A 16,957-nucleotide genomic window follows, 5' to 3' on the forward strand; every position below is an offset into this window, starting at 1 on the left:
TTTTACTTCATAAAGTTGTTAAATATTGTAGGTTTTTGGGCAGAGGGGTGGCTCACACCTGTAATCCCAGAATTTTGGGAGGCCGAAGCAGGCAGATCACTTGAGGTCAGGAGTTTGAGACCAGCCTGGCCAACATGGTGAAACCCCATCTCTACTAAAAAGACAAAAATTAGCTGGGCCTGGTGACACACACCTGTAATCTCAGTTCCTCAGGAGCCTGAGGCATGAGAATCGCCTGAACTCGGGAAGCAGAGGTTGCAGTGAGCTGAGATCATGCCACTGCACTTGGGCCTGGGAGACAGAACCAGACTCTGTCTCAATAAATAAATAAAAGTGTAGATTTTTTAAAACTGTATTTAGATTAGGGAGGTAAATAGGGTTATTTCAATACATCAAATATATATATTAAATACTATGATATATATGAATGTTATCACATATATGTACTCTTTTAATAATTAAAAAATAAAAATAATGGGAAACACATAATTACATTTATTTTAGGAAAAAATGCATGTGTGGATAAATGATACATATGTAGACATTAAGATATAATAATTTATTAACAGGAATTTTTGCTTGAACAAATCATGCAATCATACTACTGGTAAGACATTTGAATGCTACAAAGAGAATGAAATAAAAATATCCATTGCCCAGATGATAATACAATAAGAAATAAAATAAGATCCTGACATTTCAAATGAATATATTACTCAGAAATATCAAGCCAAATGCTTAGTTTTTGATTTTTTTGTGTTTTCATATTTGGCTTAAGATTTTTTAAATTTTCTTTTTACTTTCTTCTTTGACCCATTGGTTATTCAGGAGAGGGTTGATTAATTTCCACATATTTGTAAATTGCCCAATTTTCCTCCTGTGATAGACTTCTAGTTTTATATCGTTGTAGTTAGAAAATATGCTTGATATGCTTTTAATCTTTTTAAATTTATTAAGTCTTGTGTTTTACCTAACATATGTGATTTATCCTGGAGAAAGTCTCATGCGTACTTGAGAAGAATGTGTATTCTGTTGCTATCAGATGGAATGTTCTGTATAGGACTGTTAGGCCCATCTATTTGATCTATATTGTTATTCAGATTTGCTGTTTTCTTATTGATTTTCTGTCTGCATGGTCTATAGATTGTTGAAACTGGGCTATTGAAGTTTCCTACCATTATTGTTTTGCTATCTATTTCTTCCTTCAGTTCTTTTAATACTTACAGATTTAGCTGCTCCAATGTTGGTGCATATATGTTTACAATTAGTATATTTTCTTGATGAATTAACCCTTTATCATTATATAATGACTTTCTTTGTCTCTGTGACAGTTTTTGACTTTCAATTTATTTTGTCTCCTGTAAGTATAGCCACCCCTGCTCTCTGTGGTTTACTATTGGCATGGAATATCTTTAACTATCCCTTCACTTTCATAGCCAATGTGTATCCTTAAAGCTAAAGTGAATCTCCTATAGGCAGCATAGAGTTGGGTCTTGTTTTTGAAAATCCATTCAAATAGTCTATGTCTTTTGGTGGTGTGGAGGGCAGCAAAAGCAGTTCTAACAGAGAATTGTATAGTGATAACTGCCTATATCTAGAATAAAGAAAGATCCTAACTTTACATCTCAAGGAACTAGCAAAAAAGCAACAAAATAAGCCCAAAGTTAGCAGAAGGAAAGAAATAATAAAGATCAAAATAGAAATAAGTGAAGCAGAGCTTCTTAAAAAATAGAGAAGATACGTGAAACTAAGAGTTTCTTTTCTAAAAAGATAAACAAAATTAGCAAATTAGTCTTAGAAAGACTACCTGAAGAAAAGGCAGAAGGCACAAATAAAATTGCAAATCAAAGAGGGGACATTAAGGCTGATACCACAGAAATACAAAGGATTATAAGAGACTATTATGAACAACTATATACCAACCAATTGGATAATCTAGAAAAAAACTGATAAATTTCTAAAATAAAAGACCTCACCAAGACTGAATTATAAAGAAATAGAAAATCTGAACAGATCAATAATAGTAATCAAAAACCTCCCAGCAAATACCAGTCCCAGGATCAAATGGCTTCACTGGTGAATTCTACCAAATATTTAAAGAAGTAGTAGCAATCCTTTTCAAAATCTTCCAAAAGAAAAAAATAAATAAAAACAAGGAAACTCTTCCAAATTCATTTTACAAAACCAGTGTTATCTTAAAGCCAAAAGATAATCATTGTTCACAATGATGTGGAGAAAAGAGAACCCTTGTTCACCGATGGTGGGAATGTAAATTAGCACAGCCATTATGACAAACACTATGAAGGTTCTGCAAAGTTGAAAATAGAACTACCATATGATCTAGCAATCCCACTGCTAGGTATATATCCAAAGGAAGTGAAATTAGCATCTCAAAGAGATATCTTTATCCTTATGTTTATTGTAGCATTATTCAAAATAGACAAGATATGAAATCAATCTAAGTGTCTACTGTTGGAGGAATGGATAATGAAACTGTGATATACATACATAGATAGATGGATGGATAGCTGGATAGATTAGATAGATTGATAGATGCTAGATAGATAGATAGATGAGTAGATAGATACACACACAATGGAGTATTATTCAGCATTAAATAAATTTTAAAATCCTATCATTTGTCATAATGTAGATGAATCTGGAGGACATTATGCTAAGTGAAATAAGTCAGAGAAAAAAATTGAAGGATCTCACTTATTTGAGGAATCTAACAAAGTGAAACTCATAGAAGCAGACGGTAGACTGGTAGTTGTGAGGGGCTGCAGATTGGGGAAAAAATGGAAAAATACTGGTCGAAGTGTATACAGTTCCAGTTATACAGGATTAATAAGTTCTGGAGATCTAACATACAGCATGGTGACTGTAGTTGATAATACTGTATTGTATACTTGCTATGACAATCGATCTTAAATATTCTCTCCACAAACACATTAAAAAATTGTAACTATGTGAGGTGATGGATATGTTACTTAGCTTGATTATGCTAATCATTCCACAATGTATACATATAATAAAACATAATGTTGTATACCTTATCTGTAAGCAATTTTTGTTGATATATCTGTAAAGCTGGAAAAAATTAAAAATAAAAATTAAATTACAAATTATTTTTATTAAGCAACTTATATATATTTCCTTTTCAATATAGTGGTTTAAAAATATATAAGAGAAAGCAGGACATCTTTAAGAAATCATTAATTTTTTTTGTCTAGTAAACTATCTTGAAAACTAATATTTTGCTCTGCCATTAACAGCCTCAGTAACATTGAAAATATGCATGAACCAAAGGAAATAGGGTATCTCTCCCTTCATAAAACACAATAGACTCAAAGGCTAAAAACTATATCCTGAGCAATGTTATTGAATTTTTTTGTTTTTGGCAAGTTTAATTATATTTAAGGAATGGATTTTCTCAGTAATATCATCTTCTCTTAAACTGAAACTGGCTAAGCATGGAAAATTTCATTCCAAGTACCATGTTTCTGGCATTAGGAGGCCTCCATTTGGAAAACAATGTCATAGGCTTCATGTAGACAGATGGATAAATGAACAAAAGCAAAATAACATCTTAAGTTTTCTTCTTCTTCTTCTTCTTCCTGCTTGGTCTTCTGCCAAATAGAACTATAATTCTGTAGAAAACTGAAAAAAATATATATTCTAGCACAAATTTAACTCTTCCTATGTCAATTTTCTCTCTGAATTTTATCTTCTCTGGCATATCTCCATTTTATAGAATTAATATATTAGCAACTTGCTCAGAGAGAATATTTAAACAAGTTCCCTCAGTATATAAATTATTCCTTGGAAGAAAGTTACATCTATATTTAACTGCTTAATTGTCTGTTGTTATGGGCTGAATTGGGTCTTCCTGAAATTCATATATTAAAGTCCTAACCTCCAGTATCTTAGAATCTGGAGACAGATGTATTAAAGAGGTAATTGAGTTAAAATGTGGTCATTAGAGCAGATCTTAACCAAATATAAGTGGTGTCCTTCTTACCCAATAAATGAAAAATAAAAGAGGGAAATATTATCATTAGAATTTCTTATTAGTACATTCACTGTACAACAGCCTAGAAAAATGGACTAGAGGGGGATAATACCAGAATCTGAATGTAGGACAAAGGCAATATTCTTAATAAAAACAGTTAGTTATAAAGGGAAGGATATTGTTATTATGTCTAGGGAACAATCAAGAGACTTGACTTCCTAGACCGAAAACCACATGTTGGATAGCATTAGAACATTTTGATTAGATAGTTAGAGGTTAGATTACGGAGGCAGAAGTAGAAGGATTTAGAAATGATAGAGGAGAAAACATGAAGCCTCCAGTGAAGAGAAATAGCAAGATCAAAGTAGTGTCTAGAAAAAATTCACCGATGCAGGCTATGCATTTCCTCTATATTTTAGTTTTATGCTTGTAAATCAAGGATAATGAAATATGATTTATGGAGAAATTGGGAGGATTAATTATACAAACTGATGTTTGTAAAAAGCTTTAAGAAATGCTCAATGTAATGCCTTCTTGCATCAAAGCTCAGAGTATTTGCATTCATTCTCTGATAAATTTCTATTCACATTTTCTCAATTTACTTTAGATTGAGCTCTAATGAAAGTGGTTTCTGAGAACATTTTCTGAAAGTGAAGTACCTAGGAGAGCAACCAGCAGAGCCAGACCATCTCAGAGGTATAAGAAAAGACAAATTCCCATGATGCAAGGTCACTAGTTTTCTTTTCTTTTCTTTTCTTTTTGACGGAGTTTCCCTCTTGTTGCCCTTTTCTTTTCTCTTTTCTTTTCTTTTCTTTTCTTTTCTTTTCTTTTCTTTTCTTTTCTTTTCTTTTCTTTTCTTTCCTTTTCTTTTTGACGGAGTTTCCTTCTTGTTGCCCAGGCTGGAGTGCAGTGGCACGATCTCGGCTTACCGTAAACTCCGCCTCCCGGGTTCAAGCGATTCTCCTTCCTCAGCATCCCGAGTAGCTGGGATTACAGGCATGTGCCACCACACCCAGCTAATTTTGTATTTTTAGTAGAGATGGGGGTTTCTCCATGTTGGTCAGGCTGGTCTCGAACTCCCGACTTCTGGTGATCCGCCTGCCTTGGCTTCCTAAAGTGCTGGGATTACAGGTGTGAGCCACCACGCCTGGCCACTAGGAAGAGTTTCTAAGAGAAATAGAGATGCCCCAACTATTTTTCTCACCAGGTGTTCAGCTGCTCATGTTTTCATTCTCAGATTCCAGAGTAATAGTTCAGGTCATCCCATGCGGAAATTAACAGTCATAGGGCTAATCCAAAACTGATTAAGAGATTAAAACTGTCTATTAAATTTTTTCTATAAATTTGATTATAATTAAAATTACCCATTATTTTGGAATAACCAAAAAAGGTTTAAAAGGCAAGTTAGAAATGTGAGATTAAGCTGTCTACATGTACAAGCTATCCACATGTAAAATTCTTCTTATACAAAATAGATTAGGCCCTAGAAAATGCTACTTATTTTTCTATAGATTTTTGTTCCACTGTCATGGATCATATTTACCTAAAAAATGTCCTCACAGAGTACACAAACCTTTAATACCTGCTATGACATGGTTTAAAATAATTATTCATTCATGGCACTTGTTGCAGTTGGTAGAGAAGACTTTATTCTATGGGGGAAAAAATCAAAATAGGTTTAGGTACTACTGCCCTGGACTGTTGCAATGCGGAAGAGAAATTGGGTTCAACTTCAAATACAGCAAGTAAAAGTGGGGATTTATAGCCAAGAAACATGGCGGAGGTCAATGGGTGAGAAACTACTAAGAACAAACATTAAGGGTAAAGGGGAATTCTGGCTAAACCAAACAAACTTGCTTCCTGCTGAAGGCAGGAAAGGATAAACAGGCATCACCGGGAGGATGCTGGAGTATGAGAAGCCTTATCAGATAACGAGAATAATGTGACATTGAGGATGGCTAAACTGACTTAGCAGGATTCTTGCTAATAGTGGACAATGCAGAAATGAACACAAAAGTCTAAAAGTCAAGACCAACCTGAAAAAGATTTTAGGGGAACTTGGCTAGAGTTTGGTCAAAGAATCCTTGCTACCATTCAGTCACAGTTATAATACTACTATAAATAATACGATGTTTTTATTCAACAAATATTTGTTTATATATTTGAGATATAGTATTTTCCAGGTACCCCTCTGAGTATCTCTGATTGACAATGAGTAAGTGGGACTAAAATGGACGTTTTTTTCAAAATTTTATTTATACATATCTATTTTTTAATAAGTGGATATTCCATGTATGACAAAAGGTATTAAATACTATTATCCTTGTCCGTAAGCCATTTTTCTCAGCAATATTGCCTTCTATTCTCACCTTGGGCTCTTCCAATTAAACCATATTTTCACTCTCTTAACAATGCTTGCCTTTCCATCATTAGCAAGTGTTAGAAATTTACCCTTTGCATTCTATCCCTACCCCTACTATTGTAATCAAGCCTCTAAATTATATGGTCTGAAACTGTATTAAATGGCTTTCTGATAGAGCTTCCAAATCTACTTTTTCTTCTTTTCTCCCTCATCTTATTCAGTCTGTGTCGCTGTGCTGCTTACTAAATATAAAGAACAATGGCATGGTTGTCTGGAGATTTGGTTCCAAGTTTCATTTCTATCATTATTTCATCACCTTGTTAGTGTCACTTAAAGCACTAGATCTTATTGCATCAACTTGAATGGATGGAGATAGTACCAGGATATTGCTGTCTTCCCTACTTTCCATAAACATTTTTGATGCTGATACTTTTAACTATCTAGTTGACTATTTCCTCATTCTCTGCTACCTAATATTTTAGTTTTTCATCTCTATTATCCCACTTTTATGTGTTTTGCTTTAAATAGGTTAACGCACTACAAAAGCTTCTTCTTCGTAAGTCTCTCCTCTATTTCTCTAATTAAACCAATTTTTAACCTCAAGATCCAATATAATTCTTTTCTTTCTTATAGTCTTCTACAACTATTCAGACCATTACTCTTTTCCTCATTTTAGCTGCAATAGCAACTATAATCAGATCTGAAAACTCCTATAATTTCATCCTTTAGTTGCTTTATGTGAACCATTAATAGAGAATTTGGTTTTAGTTTTTTCTTTCAATAATATGTAGTTCAACATCAGACATACAGTGGAGGCTCATTAATAATTATGGATTATAAGAAAAGATAATTGAAAATTAACTGTTTTGTGCACTTTGCAGAATACTTGGCATAAAAAAGTGAGGAGTATTTATTTTCTCTTATTGTTCTGAGATGGTAGTCGTAGATTTGTCTCCTGGGGGATTGGATTTTCTGCTTTTTATTCTGTCCACCTACCAAATTCAGGTGCACAGAAACTAGGAAAGGACATTGGGGATTAATGGATAACAGGCACTGGGTTTAGGTTCTGGATGAGGTTCAGAGATATCTGCAGAATGTGTATCGTTTTTGTTATTGTCAAATAGAGCATATTTAGCTTTACTTCTTTTGTGATAGTGTCCCTTTATAAACTTAATTTATTTTTTCTTGTAAGAAATGTGTGTAGATACCACACAAATCAGCAAAACAAAACAAAACAGAAACAACTTGTGTGAGGTATACGTGTTGAATTTAAACATTAAACCAAAGCAATGAGGCACACCAGAATAAACAAAAGAGATATTTTTCTTCTCCCCCCATAGCTCACCATATTATGTCATGTTTCAGTTGCCTATCTCAAAATGTTAGAAAATGTAACTAAAAGTGGCTTAAACAGTAAATGGATTCATAAGCTCAGACCTTCTCACAATCTGAAAATTTGTCAGTTTAAGTCTATTCTTTCAGCAACTTGAAATGGTCAGAAATCAAGGAAGTTCCCACATGCAGATAGGACCCATGACAATTTGGCCTTGGTCATCATGCTTCCCCCTCATTATTATAAGGTTGATCATGAACTCCAAACATCATCTACTTGACCCCAATAATGTTAGAAGCCACAAGCCAGAATAAGATATGTTTGTGTGATCCTTTTTAAGTGCAATAATTTCTTCTTCAAATTTCCCATTAGAAATCAACCAGTAATCAAAATTGTATTGTATTCTTATTTCAAAACTACTAAGATGAAGAATGGAATCATTTTGCTGTCAATACTTAGCTTGATTCACTACATGAGGCAAAGGAGAAACACAGATTCCACTAAAGCACAGGACTATTTGGTACCTAAAAAGCAAGTCAGATTCTCTACCAAGGATGAAGGTGAGAGGGTTTAGAAGTGAAATAATATATTATGTTTAGCATGTTCCCAAACTCTTTATCAACAATTTTGGTAGAAGAGGAGAAATATAATTTATATTGGCATAATTGCTTAGTGAAAATAGAATTGGGCTGGATATTGAAGTAATAGAATTTTGTTTCTGACTCATTTTGTAATTCCTGTCTGTGATATTATTGTATTTCATTTGAAGTCAGTTTCTTTATGTATTAATTAAAGTTTTGCAGAAAGGATTTAGTAAACCACAGGTTTCTGGTTAGGGCATTTCTATGGGAATACCTAGGACTCATAGTTTTGGAGGTTTTATATAATCCTATATATATTTTTTCTTCTTCTTTTTTTTTTTTTTTTTTGAGATGGAGTCTTGCTCTGTCTCCCAGGCTGGAGTGCAGTGGCGCGATCTCAGCTCAGTGCAAGCTCCACCTTCCGAGTTCATGCCATTTTCCTGCCTCAGCCTCCTGAGTAGCTGGGACTACAGGCACCCACCACAACACCTGGCTATTTTTTTTGTATTTTCAGTAGAGACAGGGTTTCACCGTGTAAGCCAGGATGGTCTCGATCTCCTGACCTCGTGATCCACCTGTCTTGGCCTCCCAAAATGCTGGGGTTACAGGTGTGAGCCACTGCACCCAGCCCAATCCCATATTTCTCAAAGCTTAGTTTACTGTTTCAATTATTTTTTTTGTTATTTTTTGTCTGATGTGGTTAATTTGAAAGGCCTGTCGTCGAGCTCTGATATTCTTCCTTCTGCTTGGTCTAGTTGTTAAAGCTTTTGTCTATATTTTGTAATTTTGTCAACGATTTTTTTATTTCCAGAAGTTTTGTTTAATACTTACCTCTTCAGTGAATTTTCATTCATATTCTAGATTGTTTTTCTGATTTTTGTGTGTGTGTTTTCAACTTTCTCTTGGATCTCATTGAGCATCTTTAACATCAATATTTTAAATTCTTTATCTGATATTTCAAATATTTCATTTTGGTTAGGATTTATTGCTGGAGTTAATACCATCCTTTGGGAGTGTAATAACACTGTTGTTGTTGTTTTTTTCATATTACCAGAACTGTTTCTCTAGTTCCTTCTCATCTGACTAAACTATCTTTTCTTCTTATTTTTCAATTTGCTTTCATGTGGATGAGTTTTTTGTTTTGTCTTTGTTTTCTTCCTTTGAGGATGTGACTATACTGTATGTTGTGTATTGTTGTTTGGTTTCAGTCCTGGGTGCTTTCAGTGGCAATGACTCCACATTTGTTCCTTGGTTATAAATGGCCCTTGTGCAGTGACTTTCTTAAATACTGATTGTAATAGCGATGTATGGGATGTGTGATCAGGCTCATTGCCTTCTGCGGGACTGGAATGGTAGAGATCTTAGGAAGGTTGTTTCATTCCCTAACGCTGCACGTCAGCAGGTTTTGCATTGGGCTGTGCAGTTCAACCTCTAGGCCACTAGGTGGTGCTTACAAGTAAGAGCCAGCTGTAACTTTGCTTCTTTCTGATAACAAGCTTCTGATGTCTCTAATCAGCCATCTTGGAAAACCAGAAGAGAATAGTTGGAAGTTATTTATAAAAATATGTAATATTTGAAGACATTGGGCAAAGATAAATTATTATTCAAGAGACATCGAATTTAGAATTTCAAATAACACCAACATGGAGGCATGGGCATAGTTAATGAAGATTTTGCAGACTATATATAAATTTTTAGTATCAAAAGTAGGTCACATAAAAACTATTTGGGGATTTTTAACTGTGTTTGGTATTTTTTTGTTTCATTCATTACTTGACAAGTGTACAAAACTGATAGTTTGAGAAACGTTTTCTTTAATGAATGCTGGAAATATGTTTTGGAGAAATTTATGAGTCAACAATTTTTATTATAGTTTTGTTATGGTAAGAAACACATAATTTAAAATTACCATCTTAACCATTTTAAGTAGTGTTAATTATATTCAGATTATTGTACAACTTTTTCAATTTGCAACACTGAAACTCCATACCCATTACACAGTAATTCCTACTTCCACTCCTCCCAAACTTGGGGATCACCTCTCTTCTTTCCTTTTCTTTTTGCACATGTTACTGATTTTACCAATCACATTTCCTAATTTAAAGAATTTTAATTGTAGACAATATTTCCTGGCTTTTTATTTCTGATTTCAGCATTCTTTGTTAGTTTTCTTTTCTCAGCTGCAAAATGTAATAAATCCAGGAGTTAATTTTATTTTCACTAAATAATTTGTCTGTAAAATGCATAAAATTAGAAAGATAAATGAAAAGATAGTGATCATTGAAAATCAGATAGTAAAATTATGAATGTCTTTATGACTCCAAGAAGATTTCAAAAATCTCTGACACTAAATTTTGTGAGGACTAAATAATGAGTTATGAGGTAATTGTTTCATGCTTAATTTGAACTTTCCTGTCATTACTCATTTATGACTTTGCACACATGACATTTTGTTAAAGAAAATAAAATTCTTTTTTTTTATTTTTAATAACTATTTAAAAACCTCTTTACTGATGCAGAAGGATACTGCAGGGGTGGACATTTATTGATTCATCCATCCATCTTTCCAGACATTCATTAAAAAATATTATTACAAGTTTACAAGTGTTAGAAAGACAAACATATTTCTCTTTTTCTTTTCTTAAGAACTTTCCAGCAGACTACCTAACAAATAATTCGTACAATAAATGCTTATAGAGTAAAAGAACAAATTAAAGTGATAATTAAGAATAAGCATGGACTTGCACTATAAACTATAATGTAACATGAAAGTTCTATAACAAATGTCTGAAAATACTGCTATGAAAGCACTGCATAGGCATAAGGAGGCTTTGGAGGAACAGATGACCACTGAAAGATCAAAAAGTAACTCATGTAAGGCACATATTTAGAATTTAAAGATGAGAGTAAGAGTAAATATGACAAATTAATGACTGAATATAGTTTATACTTGATCTGCAATGGCTTGTAAAAGAGGCTTTGTTTACTGTATCCATTAAATTGTTTTTTAAATGCGTGTCTGCTTTAATTTCACAGGTCTTGCATTTCAAGGAGTGATTGTGAATTAGTCAATAAATTCACTTGGAGAGAGACATGCAGCAAACGTAAGAGATTTCATTAAAGCATAAAGGATCCAATACATGTTTCTGACAATACAAAGCACTTTGTAAAGTATGGAAATGCATAAATGTGAAATAGCATTAAAAGAAAATAAATATTTGGAAAATGTTACTACTAGAGGGAGGAAAAACTCTTACTTCATGAATATACAATTTATTCTCACTTATTGCAGATATTAAGCAGACTTTTTGACACTGGGTACTTATGTGCAGACTTTTCCTTTCTTTTCTTTCCTTGTAAAAGGCTGTGTTCATATGCATATGTGTCATGAAATACTTAACATATCAATGCACCAAACTATGCTTGAGTATCATTAAGTAGACTAAAATGAATGATAAAAGCTCCCTCTAATAAAATGAACACAGGTCTTTTTCTTGTTAATTGTATTAAGCAAAATCCTCTCTTGGGACTGAGTTATTAAATTTATTTTCTCAATCTATAAAATAGAGCCATTAGATATTCAACTTGATCAATATAAATGTCCAATTAAGGCAATTCAGATCTAAATACATTTCCTACTCCAACGCTATTTTGTTTATTTAATCTACCAAGGCTGCTTTAATAAGAAAGGAAGCATATTTTCTTCTTTTCTACATGCTGGAATAAGAAGCAAAATGAAACCCATGACTATTTCTCAAGTATATTTGCATCTGTTTTTGCAAGAATCCCAAATATGGATAAATTGAATGCCTAATGCCCAAGACATTAAATATTATTAAATGATGATATGAAGAAACACAAATATCTATAATCAAGGCAGGTAGAATGAAACATTATAATGGCCTCTGGTGGATCAAAGTAGACTTTTCGTTTTCTTTTTCTTTTTTTTTTTTCCGTAGTGGGGCAGGAAAATCGAAGGCAATCGCTAAATAAACTCATAATAAACATCACAATAAAATTAATCTTTACAAAGTATAACTACAGTATAACTACTAAAATATAATCCTTTCCCAAATTTTTAAGAATTCTTTATTTTCTTCCCATTAATCTCAGAATTGAATGAAAAAAATTTTGAAAATTCAAAAAATCAACGAAAAGGAATCTTAGGCAGGAAGATCTTCCAAAAAAAAAAAAGAAGAATCAGAAATGCAGAACATATTGAATGAATTTTATGGAATTTCAAGGGTGAGTCAAAGTGCTTGAAATAATGTTTTAATGTTATACCGCTTCATGTATAGGAACCTCACGTAAGTGTTCTCATCCCCAGGCATTTACTGAGAAATTTACTTGCAAATCATTTTATTATTGAAATCATTATGCTTCTACAAATTGACATTAAGATCCACAATAAAAGTTACCACTTTTTATTGAGTAGTCAGGTATCCTTTAAGCCAACTTTAAAAATGACTGGGAAAATATTAAATGAACCTATACATTTATGTGTTGGTGCTCTCTATTTCTTTCTATAGATAAGAGTTTCCACCTGAAATAATTTGCCCTCAGCCTGAAATACATCTTTAAACATCCCTTGCAGTGAGCGCTTTAAACTTTCTCACCTTTTATTTATTCTACTTTCCATTCATTTTTGAAGGATATTTTGAGAAGTTATTATCATTGACAATATTTCCCATCAATTTAAATATGTCATCCCATTGTCTTCTGAAATACACTTTAGAGGATGAGGAGTCCACAATTATCTTTATTTTTGTTTCCCTTATATAATTCCTCACTTTCCCCATACTACTTGTATGACTGCTTTCATTATTGTTTTTTGGGGATTTAGTTATAATGTTGTTTATGCAGTTGCCATGCAATTTAGAAAAATCTTGTGTATCATTTCTTTAAATATTTTTTCTCTCTAATTCTTTTGAAATACTTAAACTTGAATTATTCATATATTGGAAAGATTGATATCTTCTATTCTCACATATCTCTTAATTTTTCCGACTCATATTTTTCTCTCCATTCTTCAAATGTTTGGACAGTTTGTATTGCAATGTTTTCAAATTCACCGTTCTCAAATTCTACCAAGTGTCTAATATTCTCTTAAGCTCAATAGGCATTTTCCCTCTGGAAGTTACATTTTAGTTTTTATATGGCTTCCATTTCTCTATTCATTCTGTTGATAATATCTATTTAATGACCTAAAAGTTATCTATAATTGACATTTTAAAAATTTTTATTGATTATTTCTTCATCTTTGTCAGTCCTAAATATTTCTATTGATTGATTTTTCTCTTGATTACAGGCTTGTCATGATTTTTGATGTTTAGTAATATTAGATCACATGCTAAACATTGCAAATTATGCCTCGAATGCTTAAATTTTTGTTTAAAGAATGTTAGGTTATTTTTTAAAAAACAGGCAGTTTATTTCTTGGCAGATCAGATTAATCTTTTGAAGATATGCTTTTGTAGATCTAAAATAGCTTCTAATATTCAGGTTATGTCTAGTTAAACTTTACTCCTACTCTTAGTTTTATTGGTATATCTACTAAATACATTAGCTGATACTTAAAGACTTCCATTCTTGTCAATCAGAAATAAAATGTCTCTTAACCTTGTGCCAGCTCCTCAGTAGATGTTATTTCCCTGGAAGTTATATTTGTTCTGAGCCTTGTGGAATCTGATTCTCTATAGCACACCTTGGCATTCAGTCAAGGACACAAAAGCAAGACTTAAACAGATTCTTGGTTTTTTTCTGAATCAATTTATTTTCTCTAGAGCACTACTCTACAAATTCTGGCCATGTCAACCTCTCAATCTTATATATCTTTGCTTAGTTCTGGAAGGTAATTTTGGGTTTTAACTCCCCTCCTAATGCTATGATATGGTTAATAACTCCAAGTAAAAATCCTGGACAACTGTGGGGGCTCACCTCATTTGTTTCCCTCTTTCAGGAATCACTTCTTCATAGCCAGTTGTCCAAATATGAAAAAAGTTGTTTTCTTCTTTTCTCCAGTTTACTAGTTGTTTACAGTGGAAAAACTCGCTGGTAGCAGTCATGACCAGAGGCAGAAACTTAGATTTTATGACTAAAAGTAAAGTAAATGTTTTATTTAAATATAAAGCCTCAAATAACTGCATTGGTTGGACAATTTGGAAGGAAAATTTTGTTGCTATAATTTTGGTAGGAATTATATATAATATAGGTCACCACGCAGTATGTTATTATTACTAAGTTATTAGTATAAAAGATACTAATAACTAAACCTAACTAAACCATATAACTAAACCTTTCAAATGGAGTCCTGCAAGCCAGCAATACAGTTACACGAAGGGATAGGCGAGAGAGCTATGTTTGTAAAGACAGTGAAGAAATTGATAGAAAAAGCGATATCACAATTCCACTTAATAACAAGAGCAACAACAACAAAAATAAAGAATAATATTATTGTCAATGTGACCCACGTCATAAAAAATGAAATAATGCAATTATTTTGAAAATCAGTTTGAACATCTATTTCAATTGCAGTATGCACAAATTCATAAAGTGGAAGAATTACCATAATAACAAGACATGAGTAACAGGATACTCTCTTGTTTACTTAAATCAGATAAAAAAGAGGAACCACAGGAAAAGGAGAAATAGGAGCAGAAAAAAAGATAAGAGTGCATAAGAGGAAAAGGAAGTGATTGTCAATGGCACATAAAGCAGGTACTTCAAGCAGGTGAAGTCATGTACCTCATACATTGTTTTGGACAATGAGGAACTGTATATACGACAGTGTTCTCATAGGATTATAATGGAGGTGAGAAATTCCTATCACCTAATAACATGTTAGAACTTCCAGTGGGACAAGATGCGGAGTTGGAAAACAAGTGATATTTATATTCCTTACCCTGTGTAAGCCTAGGCTAATATTTGTGTTTGTGTCTTCTTTTTTAACAAACAAACAAAAAGCTTAAAAAGTAAAAAATAAAACGTTAAATGAATAGAAAAAATATTATAGACTAAAGACATAAAATATATACATATATGTTTGTACAGCTGTACAATGTGTTTGTATTTTAAGCTTATTACAACAGAGTCAAAAAGTTAAAAAATATGTAAAAGCTTATAAGAGTTACGGTAAGCTAATGTTAATTTATTATTGAAGAAAGAAATTTTTTAAACTAAATTTTAGTTTGGCCTGAGTATACAGTGTTTATAAAGTCTACAGTAGTGTACAGTAATGTCCTAAGCCTTCACACTCACACACCACTCACTCACTGACTCATCCAGAGCAACTTCCAGTTCTGCAAGCTGCATTCATAGTAAGTGCCCTATACAGGCATATCAATTTTTAAATCTTTTATGCCCCATTTCTACTGTACTTTTTCTATGTTTAGATACAAAAACATAATTATGTTCCAATTACTTACAGTATTCCCTACAGTAAAATACTGTACAGGTTTGCCGCCTAGGAGCATAATAGTCTATACCACATGTTTAGGTGTGTAGTGGGCTATACTCTCTAGGTACACTCATGACCTTTGCACAAGGATGAAATTGCCTAACAATGAATGCTTCTCAGAATGTATCCCCATCATTAAGTAATACGTGATTGTACATTAGTTTGCTAAGGCTGCCATAACAAAATACTGGATGGCTTAAACAAGATAAATTTATTTTCTTACTATTTTGTACCTACAAGTCTGAAACCGAGGTTTCAGTAGGGTTGGTTTCTATTTTTTTTTTTTTTTTTTTTTTTTCAAACGGAGTCTCGCTGTATCACCAGGCCGGAGTGCAGTGGCGCGATCTTGGCTCACTGCAACCTCCTCCTGCCAGGTTCAAGCGATTCTCCTGCCTCAGCCTCCTGAGTAGCTGGGATTAGAGGCACGCACCACCACGCCTGGCTAATTTTTGCATTTTTAGTAGAGTCGGGGTATCAGCATGTTGGCCAGGATGGTCTCCATCTTCCGACCTTGTGATCCGCCCCCCTCGGCCTCCCAAAGTGCTGGGATTACAGGCATGAGCCACCATGCCTGGCTGGATTGATTTCTTTTGAGCTCTCTAGTCTTGGATTGCAGGCGGTCTTCTTCTCCATATGTCTTCACATGGCCTTCCCTCTGTACATATCTGTGTCCTAATCATTTCTTTTTTAAGGACATCAGTCATATTGGATTAGGGCCCAGAGTTATGATCTCTTTTTAACTCAATTACTTCTTGAAAAACCTTATCTCCAAATATAGTCACAATCTGTGGTGGTTAGGACTTCAACATATGAATTTTGGGAAGGACACAATTCTGTCCATAACAATAGGTAGTACATTTGTGAGTTCTAATTCTTTAAATGCTCAATGTTTCTGCAGGTTTTACGGTGCCATTGAAGAGGACTTTTCACGTGGGATTCCTGGATAATTATGACAATATGTTTGCTATAATCTTTTTTTTTTTTTTTTTTTTTGAGACAAGGTCTTACTCTGTTTTCCAGCCTGGAATGCAGTGACACGATCTCAGTTCACTCCAGCCAAAACCTCCGAGCCCAAGCAATTCTCCTACCCCAGCATCCTGAGTAGCTGGGACTACAGGTGCTGCTATAATCTTTTAAAAAATACATAGATCTATAAAGATATGCCTTTAATTATTTTATTGAATGTCTAGCCTACAGAAATAGCCTATTTTTA

General features: G+C 33.3%; 1 annotated feature.

Moving 5' to 3' along the window:
* Positions 509-678: an enhancer, noted in NCBI's record as "experimental_78284 CRE fragment used in MPRA reporter constructs". NCBI's record gives its function as "activates a minimal promoter by MPRAs in K562 erythroleukemia cells, with activity observed for the non-introgressed 4:30373087 variant allele {active_cell/tissue: K562}" and the evidence as "EXISTENCE:reporter gene assay evidence [ECO:0000049][PMID:34662402]".

The sequence above is a fragment of the Homo sapiens genome, chromosome 4, assembly GCF_000001405.40.
Source record: "Homo sapiens chromosome 4, GRCh38.p14 Primary Assembly".
Classification (NCBI taxonomy): Eukaryota; Metazoa; Chordata; class Mammalia; order Primates; family Hominidae; genus Homo; species Homo sapiens.